Here is a 13,238-nt window from a genome sequence, read left to right on the forward strand (position 1 = left end):
TGGGGATTTACCTTACAAAACACTCACAATATCTTTCCTCATTATCTGGTCACCAAATTAATTTATTCATCATTCATATATCCATTCATCCGATATTGGAGAATCTGCTACAGTCATAGTGTAGAGGTGTACAATGGTGACTAAGATGTAGTTCCACGTTCTTACAATTCTTACTAGTGACGTGGATAGGAGATAAGGAACCGCAGTGAAAAGGATATTGACTGGGCACAAAAAGTTTGGGGTTTTAATCCTATTTTTGTCCTTCAACTGCTGGGCAACTTTGGGCCAACTACACAACCTTTCTTGGCTTCCCTTTCTTCATTTGTAAAATTGGACTAAATTATCTTTAATTTCTTACTAACTTCTAAAATACTTTACTGAAGAAAAGAGACATACACATCTGATGTAAATGCAAGTATGTGTGTGTGTGTGTGTGTGTGTGTGTTTAATGGGGGCATAGCTGGCTCCTTTATTAGGCTTTGGTTTTTCTTCATGTATCTGATTTCCAGAAATGAGAGTGAAAATACATTTTATTTTGCTCCCACGTGTTTACTAATCTAAGATTTCATGCTGTGAGGAATTAAATAAAAAATGTTTTTGAGCCTTGGCTGAAGGAGAAGAAAGACAATGATTATGATGTCAAAATTATGTCAAAAGCAGATGGTTCTACTGTCCCTGAGTCTAGGATTGATGCGGAAACCCAAAGGTAAATGAGAGCCTTGGAGAAAAAGAGACTTACAAGGATATTATGCACTTGGGGTAATAGGTTTATTATCTCTATATACAAGTAAGCATTTATTGATGTTTGTCAAAAATAAGAGACAAGATAACAAAAACTATTTTAGCATGAAAACGAGATAGCTGCAATAGACTAATACTGAGCTTAAAGACTCCAAAAAGAGCACAGAACCTGAAATGACAGTTTTCAGGTTGTATAGTTATCCAGACAATGAAGTCAACTATACAAGGCAAGCAACACATGACAATAAAACACCATCAACAGTTTCCCACTGGAGGATGGAGGGAGGCTTGCTGGGGCCTGGGGCCACTAGTGGGAAAAGATATTAAAATCTCATAAATCCTCCGTATCTTTTTTCCATTTCAGGAACTTCTTTGGAGTAACTTTCGCCTTCTTCGTCGGAGGGCAGAGCCTCGGCAAAGCGCTTCAGGAAACCTCCATACCGTTTCTGGTAGTCCATCCACCACTCTGGGCGACCTACTCTTCTCATGAAGCCCCCATATCGCTTCTGCAGCTCTTTGGCTTCATCTTCCAGTTGGGGGCTTCTCTTTAAGCCTCTCATGAAGCCCCCATATCTCTTGCTCACTTCTTCCTCATTATCACTGCCATCCTGGTGGTGGCTACGCTCTCGGTTGTCCCCTGTTTCCAGAAGCTCTTTTAGCAGGTCTGAGGAATTGGCCAGCGAGTCGTCCTCCTCTGCATCCTTCTTCATGAAGCCCCCATACCGCTTGGCGAGGATCTCACTTCCATTGGCCTCTTCTTCTGGCTCCATGGGATAAAGCTCATCCATTTTCTTCATGAAGCCTCCATACCTTTTCATGAAGCCCCCATACCTTTTGGCTAGCAAATGGCTTTCTTCCGGTTTGCTATTTTCTCTGAGGGTGCTGGTGCCATCTTGAGGAAGCTCTGGTTTGGACAGCTGCAGGAGCTCCTTGCAGGTTTCCCAAATTTTCAGAGAAGGCAGTTTACCTTCACATTCCATTACGCAAGCCTGGGAAAACAATTTGATGTAATGATAAAAAGAAGCTTCTGTGATTTCATTAAGCAAATGAACTTTTGTGGACCAAAATATGCTTGCTTTGACATCATAACTTCCTTATTATAATAAGGTCATCTCCAATTTCTTATCACGACTTTTCATAAGGCTGAGCATGCAAATGAAACAAATAAAATTTGGAAAGGTGAAAGTGGAGGGGTTCACTGAATCCAGTTAGGAATCTGCCTTTGGATTTTAAACCCATAGAAATTTTAAAGAATTTAAAAAAAAATTTTCCATGCAGTTTTAACTTAGATTGACTGCTTTCACAATCTAATTTCACTGGATAATTTTCCACTTCTGATATAATTTTGTTTGAGATTTTTCTAACCAAAAAGGAGAAATTTTTATTTACCTAATCAGGGATATTTCCTCAAAATTCCTTTTATCTTCTTGTCTTAGAGATAAAATCAATATTAATAACCTAAGGGTCATTTGCTTTCTTGTGTTAATATTTTACCTAAAATGGTATCGAGTATTCCTGCAAATACTTTCAATCTTCAAAGAAAAACAACAATTTAAAAAAAGTTTATAAACACATCCTAAAAACTCAATTTAAATCTGATGAATTATTTGCATTCTTATTAATTTGTTAATTTGTTGTAAGTACAGATCTTTTGTTTTTTTCCTTTTTTCTTTGCTGGATACAACAGACTTTATTATTTTGAACAAAATGTCTATAATGATGAGATCAGATATAAAATTATACAAATGCAAGTGCACAAATTATTCATGTTTATTTTCTTCACATTTAGTCACTGTTGTACAGAAAAAGTATTTTTCAATGGAAATCATGGTGTTTGGTAAAATAGGAATCATCAGCATACATTCTTTCCTTTTTCTTATATAAATATTAAATATAAAATCATTGTAAGTCTATACATTCGAATGATCTTAAGTTTTTTTCTATTTAACACATCACTTGGGTATGATAAAGAGAGTACTAATATGTGAACATTTACAAAACATGCATGATATTTCTTAGCATTTCAGGAGTTTTTTACAGCCCTCTGAAGTCTTTCTTGGTATTATTAAAAATATACTGGTATATTAAGTGATGTTAAATACACATATATTATTTTCACAATGAAAGAAAGCATTTTATTAGTGCAACAAAATCTTGAAGGCACGTATTTAGTAAGCTCTTAATGAGTATTTAAGCTTCGTGTCTGAGAAGATTAAATATATAACTACGTAAGAATCTAAAGATGATCCATTAATAATTAAAATGTCTTATTTTATTCCTGACATATGATGAACAAATAAAAACACCATTAGAAGCTTAAGATATTTAAGGAGCAATAATATTTCCATTCTAAAGTTGTATCTAAGTGATCTTGTTGTTAAAAATTAATGTTGAATGTTTTGCATACTAATACCAAAAGATTTTTAAATGTATGTGATGTGAGATTCCTTCAAAACCAAATAGTAACAAATATCAGAATAATGCACTCGTACTAAGGTAGCGATGTTAACTGATGGCTCCTATAACCATGTATGCATGTTTTGTGGTATTTACCACACTTTGTGTGGTATGGTCAAGATCACATTAGATGGGAAATTCTATCTGGACATCAGCCATAGCACGCCTGCTCATCTCTGCATCCACCACAGTACCAATCATAAGTGTCTTTCTCATGGTAGAAGCTCAGTAAATATTTGTTACATTGATTTCACTACATAATTTTGGCTAGGCAACCTCGTTTCTCACATGTCTTTTGCATCCGAGCCAAAATCCCAGAATGTTGTAATTCTAGCGAGACAGTCACTAAGTAAACCTTTTGTCATTGAGACAATAACAACCCTAAATGTAGGGTCCAATGCAAATCAGTTATTATGCAAAATGCCTTTCTATAAGACTATTTTTATTGATGGTTGCTTATTATCTATTTTTTTCAAGTTGCTAACACTACACGTGCCATTCCATCACCTGGATTAAAGTAATGATAATAGTAATAAGTGATAACAACAAGAGCATAAAAAGCAGTATGGAAAATTCTGGAAAGAGCAGCCTTCCTCTTCTCCTCCCCCACAATCCTGTTACATGATGAGAAGAGGGTGAGAGAGGGAGAGAAGTCAAGATTTGAGGTGATACCCAGGGAAGAGCTAGCTGCTACCCAGTGAGCTCTGCTCAAGTTCCTCAACAATGCAAAAGGAAGATTAGTAGCATTTTGGGAGCTTGGTGAATCAAATAGATTAAGTATGAAAAAAACCCATTTGAATAGGCATGATTAAAAGTCAGTCATATTAATTCGCTAACTCACATAATTTAAGTAAATATGATACTACTTTGGGGTCAGTCTGTGTGATTAGAAAAATTAGACTAGAATCCATATAACCTTTATTCAGATGGCAGAGAAAGCTAGGGGAGGGGGCTGAGCCCCTGACATGTTGAGCAGGCAAAGCTCAAAATATGTGTGACTGGGCACAGGGAATTATGGGGTCAGAAAGTGGAGTCTTCTATGTGGCATGTTTTGGATTTTTCTTCCTCCTTCTGTGTCTAAAATTCTTTATCCACAAGATCTATCCTTATATTTGTAGCACTGGCTCAATTTTTAGGCATAGGTTAAAAGCTCATGACTACAGGAGAAAGAAGAAAGATGGGTGAAGGGGATTGTTTCTCCTATTGAAGATGAAACATTTTTCTCATAGTTTAAATATACAACCTTCCTATGTGTCTTCTCTTTAATGCCAAGTTAGCACAGGTCAAAGAAACAAACATTTAACCTGAAATATATACCACAGATATTTGGAAACTGTTCCTTGGTTTTCTCCCCATTTCAAACATCTACATAAGGTAAAATTTCCTCAATTCCAGGTGGAACCCAAAGCAGCTTGGATGAATACATTATTCTCTATGAGCTTTTTAAGTCACCATAAAATTTCAACAAATTTCAAAAGCAATGCAAAGGAATTGTCAGGGGAGCTGGTAAAAGTGAAGCTACCTGAGTCTCGAGGTTGGAGATTCAGACTCAGTAGAGCACCAGAGGTGATTCGACAGCCCATGGGGAACCATGATCAGAATGAAAGTTATTTTGTCCTCAGCTTTTTCTTTCCCCAACCCCCTGTAGTGCAGTGTATCTTTGGACTGTTGTCACCCATTGGACACTGGCCACTTCTCTTGTTCCTTTCTCATAGCCAAATTAAACTGTTGTTTTAGTTACTATTACAAAGGGCAGTTGAAACAGAAGTTGAATTCCAGCATCACTGGCTAGTGAGACAGTTTGAACTCTTTCCTGTCTACGGTTATTTCGCCTTCCTCTCCCCGTACCCCTTTTCCATCCCTTTGCTCTCTCCTATTTACAGGTGAGGGTAGGGAATGAGGGACCTGAGGTTAAGAGAGCTGGGGAACATAAATCTAAAGAAAGGCACCGAAATGTCACTAACAAAAAATTACATTATTTGTGGGAAAGATGGGAAGATGACTGCGTGTGGAGGGGCCCTTAGCTGGGATATGTTAGGAGTTGTGGTGACAGCCATCTTCCTTCTGACAGCCCAGGAGAGAACCCAGTGCTATCCGAGGTGCTGAACAGAGGACTTCTCGGGGTTCCCGAATTCCCAGGGTTAAAACAAACTTGGTTTGTGCGGCGACACCGCTACCCTTACCGGTCCCCAGATAGTCGCGGATCCCCGAAGCTAAGAGCCAGGGCAGGACTTCAGTCAGTGTTCCAGGAACAGCTGAGACACCCAGGTCACCACGGGCTCGCGCCGCTGCGGCTCCGACCCGGTGCGAACCGCCATACGCGCCGCGCGGTGGGCCGGAGGCAGTCCGCGTACTGTTGCGGAAACTCTGTCTCACAAGGTGCGCAACACTCGCCGCGCGCAACACTCACCAGGAAGTTGATGTCGGCCGGGCGCACTAGGCGGTAGCTGCACGTCGCGCAATCCTGGCTGCATTCGGCCCGCACGGTCGCCAGGAGCCCGGGGCCGAGCAACAGCAGCCAAGTGCAAAGTGTCAGGAACCGCGCCATGGACTGCGAGGAGAGAGGGACGCGTGCTTCGAGCCTGCCTGGGCGCAGAACGGGGTCCCTCGGCAGGACCCTCGCCGCGACAGCCTCAGCAGGGGATCGTCGAGCAAAAGCCCGCAGGAATGCTCCTTTCTGGGGCCCCGCCCTCCCGGCCGACAGCTTTTAGGTAGACGTGGAGGCGACTCAGATCGCCTCGCGGTTCCCGGGATGGCGCGGTCGCCCCCAACGCGAGGCTGCCTGGGGCACCCGGCTCTTTTCCTGGGCGTCCGCGGCCCAGGGCAAGATTCCGGAGAGAACGCCGCAGACCAGGGGCGAGAGAGCGGGAGCCGGGGGAGGCAGGACATTGACTGGGGTCACAAAGAAGAACCAGGGAACGCTGTTGGGGAACCCATGCAATGAAATGTGAAGGGAAAGAGGGCGGGCAGACGTCCCCAAACCCGCTCAGCAAAGACAAGCTTCGGGCAAATTCACTCACGTTGACGCTGTTCGGATGGAGCAGGCCAATTGGAAAAGCCGGGTTCAGACACGACTCTAGAGGGAAGAGAAGAAGGCAAGTGTGAGGAGGGCGGGCGTCGGGGAGAAGCGGGCCCGGGTGTGCTGGCGGACGTAGGGCCTCACCGTCGCGGTCCTCAGCGTCTCTGCGGGGTCACGGGCCAGGCTGCGGGGCTCTGAGCGCCTGCCTCGCCGTCCCGGGGCTTAACGGCTGCTGGAGCCACTTTATAATTAGCCCCAAACCGAAGGAGGCGCGCGCGCCCCAATCGCCGGCGGGCTGCAGCTGACGCAGGCCCTACGCCAGCCCCGCGCCGACGCCTTCGCGGGAGGGGTCGGTCCCCCAGCACCCGCGCGCCGCTCCCCCCGCCGAGCTCGGGTGGGGGCCACAGGGGGCGCTCGGTGGCTCCCCACACGGCCAGGTGACAAACCCAAGGCAGTTAGGAAGTTTGGGGAGAGTGAGATAGGATCAAGTTTCTCCGCATAAAGTCACTGAAATTGCACCGTGGGATGCGGGCTCCAGGGAGGGAAGCGAGGTGGGGGCGTTTGGAAGGATAGATGGACTGGCTTAGACTTCTGGAATGTGCTGGAGACCCAGCGGGCCGGTGAACCTGCCCCTTTCCCGCCTCCTCCCTGGGCCCCCTCGCGGGTCCCCGTGGGCACCAAGCACAGCCGTCCGGAATGTCGTCATTTATTGACCAACCTGTCCCCCACACTTGACTCCGAGTTCCTTACTGCAGCATCTAACAGCGTCAAGGTGCGCAGTTTAGGCGCTCAATTAATGGTTACAGGAACTGAACGATTGAAAGTTTCTGGGAATCTTAAAATCTCAGGACAGAATTTTCACCTTTCCAGTTAGAGACCCTTGGCCAAGCGTAGAAGCAGGTAAACCCTCAGGTTCCGGGACTGCGCGCTTTTCAGCCACTGTGGGAGAGGATCCGTGTTTAACCAGCTCCCCGGGGCTCCCAAGTCGAAGACCTACTGCCTTGAGAGCGCTGTCCAGGGTGTCCGGGGGTGTTGGATCAGTGAGAGGGGGGTGCCGGGGCGGGTGTAATGTCAGCGCGCCAGGAGTGTGGTGGGGAGGGAGGGATGAGGGACACCCTACCCGGGACGCCGGGGCTTGGAACCTCTTCTCCACCGGGAGGGGGCCGAGGGCACACTGTGGAGGCTGGTACTGTCCATTAAGACACGCTTTCCCGCTTCCTGGCTCTGCAAAAGATTGCTAAGCGGCAAGCTGCTTACATTGCCTGAGGCCTCAGTTTCCCTATTTGAAAAATAGGAACAGAGGTAATATGCCATTCATAAGGTTCTGGAGAGAATCAAATGAAATAGTGGACGAAATCTCTTAGCCTTGTGCCTGGCACTATAGCAAGCCCTCAAAACATCTTCTAACCATCCGTCATCCGTCCGTCCACCTTTCCATCTGTGACCATTGTCTGCTTACCTTATAGCTACCATCGATGTATCCAATCCACCTATGCATCTATGTCTCCTAGACCTAGGGGGAAACCATAAACAGTTCCTGGGAAAAGGTCCCAGAGGTTTCCAGGCCCTCTGCGCCCTCTGCAAAGGGCTGATTTCTACAGTCGCTAGGACCTGCAGCGGCGCTGCTCCCGCGGGGCTCCGGCCGCGCTGCATGTCCCATTATAGTCGCTAGAGGGCAGCGCTCTCCTGCGTAGGCTGGGCTTGCGGGGACTGGGGTCTCAGTTCTCCGCAGGCCTCAATGTGCGGGCTTGACACGCAGCCCTCGGATTAGCCCCGAAGCTGCACCCGAGCACCGCCTGCCTCCCGGCCGGGGCATCACGGTAGCAAGGTCGGGAAAGCAGAGCCCTGGAGTGGGGCTGGAGAACCCCGGACATAGCCCTAGGGAGCCAGCATTACCCTCTGAGCAGGAAAACACAATGTTTCCCGCTTTAGGTTCTTTTCATCATGGGGCCCCTTACTAGCTCCTTACTCTCTCCCCAAGGCAAAGGAGAGCTTTTGTCTTTACTTCAGATTTTTCCTTGTTGCCTGGGCTTTGGAAAGGAAGCTGACTCCACTGCAGTACTCAGTGCGAAAGTATTGCATGAACAAATTCTACCTAAAATTAAAGGAAACTTGCTATAGCTGAGCACTTGCGAACCTGGGATCACCTAAGAACTTTAAACGCATAATCAGGAGCGGGAGGCTGAGGTAGGTGTGTGTGTGTGTGTGTGTGTGTTTGTGTGTGTGTGTGTGTGTTTGGAATGACCACATCACGCGATGCTTTTTAAGGGTGCACAGCGCGCAGTAGTGGAAACAGTGCATTTCTGCACCCTGGCGACACAAAGGCTCGTTAGGATCTTGGAAAAGTAGAAGCTTAAGTTTGGGAGAGGTTTTAGGGATAATTTATTCCACCGCCCGTTCTACAGATGGTAAAAACCAAGGCTCAGAACGTCTGAGTGACCAGCCAGGGCAGTGGCAGACCAGGTTTTCCAGCCTCTGAGTTCCTTCCCGAAACCTACCTCAGGCCTAGTTTGTTTCTGTTGGAACTAGTCATGTTTGCTCTGAGTTAGGGTCTCTTGGCGCATTTGCATTTTCCCCTGAGACTCCTGAAATGTCAGGGGAGAGAGAAACAGAAAGGGAAAGAGAGGGCGCCTCCTAGGGGCAGTGCAAGAGTGTGCAGTCCCCCACGAGACCTTCCTAGATGCTTGGGGCACAGTGGTTGCTTGGTAAATGTGTGTCGACCGGCTGACTGACTGAATGAATGAAGTGATAGGAGGTCGACCTTGTTTGCCTACCCCAAATCAGTGACATCTCTTCCCATCATCCTCCCCCATCGACCTGAGAAACTAAAAGTCATTCTGGTGGCAATGAGTTGTAAGAAATTCATTTTTTCATCATCTTTTAAATATTTATCAAGAGTGAACAGACTTTGCAGTTATGATCTGGGAGAAAGCTGCTCTAGAAATCAGACTAAAAAAGGGAAGGGGCTCTGTCTTAAAGCATTCAATCCAGACATTTTTTATTTTCAGGTTAGGATCAATAACTCATCTTCTGATCCTAGGGTCCCAAGCATTTGCCCAAAGGGATTCATCCTAGAGACCAAGAAATCTGACTTTTTAACCCTGATGATGAATGGCATTTTACTCAGTTCTTAGGTGTTCTCAGAGTCTAAAAAGGTGGGATTTTACAATGTTCTTTTAGTGTCCTCTTCCATTATTTTCAGATGGAAGATGGCTAAATTGAATGACGTCTTTCTGGTACTCACTCCTCTGCTCCCCTCCCCTTCCTGTCACCCAAGCACACGTGTTTTATTACAGAAAGCCATTTCTGTCTGCCCCCCTCTCTCTAAAGTAGCAGTAGTGGAAACAAGCCCCTTCAGCACTCAGGCAATTGTGTGATGGTTCAGCATAAAAGCAACATGTTCTAACATTTCAGATGTTTGGAGTCATGCCAGAGTCAGGGGAGACATCCCCGTTTTCAGTTACAATCTAAAGTGCACAGTTTGCAAAATGTGATTCTGTGAGTTGGGCATATAACTGTGAAGTAGCACTGTTAAGGGATTCTTTTTCAGACTGGCTCAGAACACCATAACAGAGCAGCTGGAAGTGGGGTTGGCTTGAACGAGATGTTTTATGGTGTCACAAACCCCATTTTAAGGAAAGTCAGTGTTGGAACATTCTGGAAAATGTACCAGGAAATAGAATAAAACTCTAGGAAGAAAAGGTAATCTGGTACAAAGTTGCCAGATTAAATAATAGAAAGAGTTTAAATAATATAAATTAAATAATAGAATGAGTTTAAATAATAGAAAACATGTCAATGTGTCAGAGGAGGTGGGGAGAAAGGGAAGGTAAATTAAACCAAGAATATCAAACATATTGTTTATGTACTGTAAACTTAGGGAGGATTGAAACACACTTCCTAACTTTGGCCTTTTGCTCTCCAGGAGGGAAAAGATCAATCTTACTATTAAGTATAGGTAATTAGACAATGAATAAAGCAAGTCCTATTATGAAAAATTAGATTAAAATAAGATATAGCTGTGAGTCCAACCAATAGAGTATGTCTTGAGCAGCTCGACTTTTAATAATGACTTTTGAAATTGCCTTGAGAAATTTAATAGCCACGTGAGAGAACCAGTCAATGTTAAAAAATTGTGTTGCCTCAGTGAAACCCCGTCTCTAATAAAAATACAAAAAAAATGAGCTGGGTGTGGTGGCGGGTGCCTGTAGTCCTAGCTACTCAGGAGGCTGAGGCAGGAGAATGGCAGGAAGCTGGGAGGTGGAGCTTGCAGTGAGTCGAGATTGCGTCACTGCACTCCAGCTTGGGCGACAGAGCAAGACTCCATCACAAAAAAAATTGTGTCACCTCATTGGATTCAAACCTTATTCAACAACTTGACTTTGATTTGGTGTTTTGGTTGTTTCTGAAATCAAATATTAGATCCCACTTATGGGACCTGTATAGAAGGCATTCAAAAATATTCATCCACCACAGACAATTTCCACAGTTGAAGGAATGCTAGAAGAGAAGTTCTAAATAGATTTTGATCAATAGTAAGTTATTGGAATGAATGCAATGGCTGCAGGATACCAAGTTCTTAAGGGAATCCCTTTGCGTATGATCCACAGCACAGATGTTTGCACATAGTAGAGACTCAGTGAAGTTGCTTTTAAAACATGTGTTTTTGCTTATAGTTACATCTTCCATAGCTCCCAAGTGATGGTGAATGGTGGGATAGACCCAAGAGGTCAAACTGTTTTAATAAAATTATATAGGGAAAGCACTCAAATCTTTCAAAGCTATCAAATAAAAACTGAGCAAACTGAAAAACCACGACTCTTCTTAGATCTATCATAGAGGTTGGGTCACAGGGGAAACCACTGTCCCCCCAAATTGGAGAGACCAACAGGCAAACACAGGGGGTCCTGGCTTGCTGGTGCAGAAACCTCCCAGAGAATCAGTTGGGAGGTAGAAAAACCTGAACTACAGCTGACAAATTCCGGGAAACTGTGTGAACAAATCTGAGATAAAAATTCCAGGAGAACCCAGTCCACGGAGGCCTCCACACTTTCATGAGTTTTACTTACAGGTGTTCAACCAGGTTCTCACAATGAATAATGGAAAAAATTTCCCTTGTGCTTCAAGCAGTGGGAGGGAAAAAAGAGCCATTTTGAAATACACCGGAACATTGTGTTCCTAACAAGGTTTGCCCACAGGAGAACCTAGTTAACCAGAGTCTAATCTCCTGAAGTTTTATCAGAAAATAGCTGACCTGAGGGACTGGAAATACCCAACTCCAGCCCCCTCCAGCCATTGTGTTCTACTGAAGGGGAGGCTGGGGACTAAGAACATATGTAAAGTTCACAGCCCAGAGGTACAGGCTCACTAAAGACTGAGACCTACTCAGAGGACTGCAGAACACTCCCTTCCTGCTTTATCAACACATTACTAAAGGCATATTTATAACATTTCCGTTTACCCAGTACATCAAGTCTGGCTGTCAAGAAAAAATTACAAGACATACTAAAAACCAAAAAAAAAAAAAAAAAATCCCCACAGTTTGAAGAGACAGAGCAAGCATCAGAACCAGGCTCAGATATGTCAGAGATGTTAGAATTACCAGATGGGGAACTTAAAACAGCTATGATTAAAACACTAAAGGATGAGGTAGACAGCATGCAAGAACAGATGGGCAATGTAAGCAAAGAAACAGAAATTCTAAGAAAGATCCTAGAAGAAATGCTAGAAATCAAAAACACTGTCACAGAAATGAAAAATGCCTTTGATGGGTTTATTGTTAGACTGGATATGGCTGAGGAAAGAATCTCTGGACTTGGGGATATGTCAATAGAAACTGCCAAAACTGAAAGGCAAAGATAAAAAAGACTGAAAAAACAAAAAACAAAAAACAGAATATCCAAGAACTGCAGGACCATTATAAAAGCAGTAACACAAATGTAATGAGAATTCCAAAAGGAGAAGAGAGAAACAGAAGAAATGTTTGAAACAATAGTAACTGAGAATTGCCCCAAATTTTGTCAGACGCTAACCCCTATATATCAGGATATGTTGTCAGGAAGCCCAGACAACACTGAGCAGGATAAATGCCAAAAACCCTATACCTGTGCATACTATTTTCAAACTACAGAAAATCAAACATAAGGAAAGCATCCTGAAGGAAGCCAGAGAGGGGAAGAACACCTTACCCGTAGAGGAGTAAAGATAAGAACTACCACCGGGTGCGGTGGCTCACACCTGTAAGCCCAGCACTTTGGGAGGCAGAGGCGGGTGGATCACGAGGTCAGGAGATCAAGACCATTCTGGCTAACACGCTGAAACCCCGTCTCTACTTAAAAAATACAAAAAAATTAGCCAGGCATGGTGGCAGGCGCCTGTAGTCCCAGCTACTCGGGAGGCTGAGGCAGGAGAATCGCTTCAACCTGGGAGGTGGAGGTTGCAGTGAGCTGAGATCGTGCCACTGCACTCAAGCCTGGTGACAGAGCAAGACTCCATCTCAAAAAAAAAAAAAAAAAAAGATAATAACTACATCTGATTTCTCAGAAATCATGCAAGCAAGAAGAGACAGGAGTAAAATATTGAAAGTATTAAGAGAAAAAAAAACCCCATCAAGCTAGAATTCTTTATTTTGTGAAATTGTCCTTCCAATGTGAAAGAGAAATAATTTCTTAGACAAACAAAAATTGAGAGAATTGATTGCCAGTAAACCTGCCTTGCAAGAAATGTTAAATTCTTTAGAGAGAAGGAAAATAATAAAGGTCAAAAACTTGGATCTACGTTAAAAACGGAAGAGTATCAGAGAAAGAATAAGTGAAGGTAAAATAAAAACTTGTATTTTGTTATTGTTGATTGATCTAATAAATAACACTTTGTTTAAAATAATAAAAGCAACAGTGTATTTGATTATGTATGCTTATGTGCAGATATATGTTTAGGTACGCTTATATGTAAGTGAAATAAATGGGAGCAATGATACAAGAAACAAGAGGAAGGAATTATAATTATTTTGTCATTGTAAGGT

At 43.8% G+C, this 13,238-nt stretch overlaps 1 protein-coding gene and 1 long non-coding RNA gene across 2 annotated transcripts in view, besides 1 other annotated feature; one reads left to right on the forward strand and one right to left on the reverse strand.

Moving 5' to 3' along the window:
- Positions 1 to 749: 749 nt before the first annotated feature.
- Positions 750 to 6,434, reverse strand: PENK (proenkephalin). Its single transcript, NM_001135690.3, has 4 exons — positions 6,362 to 6,434; positions 6,219 to 6,274; positions 5,609 to 5,749; positions 750 to 1,730 (listed from the first exon to the last, which is right to left on the reverse strand). Exons 3-4 carry the CDS (start codon positions 5,744 to 5,746, stop codon positions 1,065 to 1,067), a joined length of 804 nt encoding a protein of 267 aa, NP_001129162.1. The 5' UTR covers positions 5,747 to 5,749; positions 6,219 to 6,274; positions 6,362 to 6,434; the 3' UTR covers positions 750 to 1,064.
- Positions 5,205 to 6,096: an enhancer, noted in NCBI's record as "H3K27ac-H3K4me1 hESC enhancer chr8:57357971-57358862 (GRCh37/hg19 assembly coordinates)". NCBI's record gives its function as "activates a minimal SCP1, AML or CMV promoter by ChIP-STARR-seq in primed H9 embryonic stem cells {active_cell/tissue: H9 hESC(primed)}" and the evidence as "EXISTENCE:reporter gene assay evidence [ECO:0000049][PMID:30033119]".
- Positions 5,600 to 13,238, forward strand: part of PENK-AS1 (PENK antisense RNA 1) — a 106,261-nt gene continuing 98,622 nt past the window's right edge. The window contains exon 1 of the long non-coding RNA NR_125813.1: positions 5,600 to 6,293. This is a non-coding gene — a long non-coding RNA (PENK antisense RNA 1). The remainder of the gene's footprint in view (positions 6,294 to 13,238) is intronic.

This window comes from Homo sapiens, chromosome 8, assembly GCF_000001405.40.
Source record: "Homo sapiens chromosome 8, GRCh38.p14 Primary Assembly".
Taxonomy (NCBI): Eukaryota; Metazoa; Chordata; class Mammalia; order Primates; family Hominidae; genus Homo; species Homo sapiens.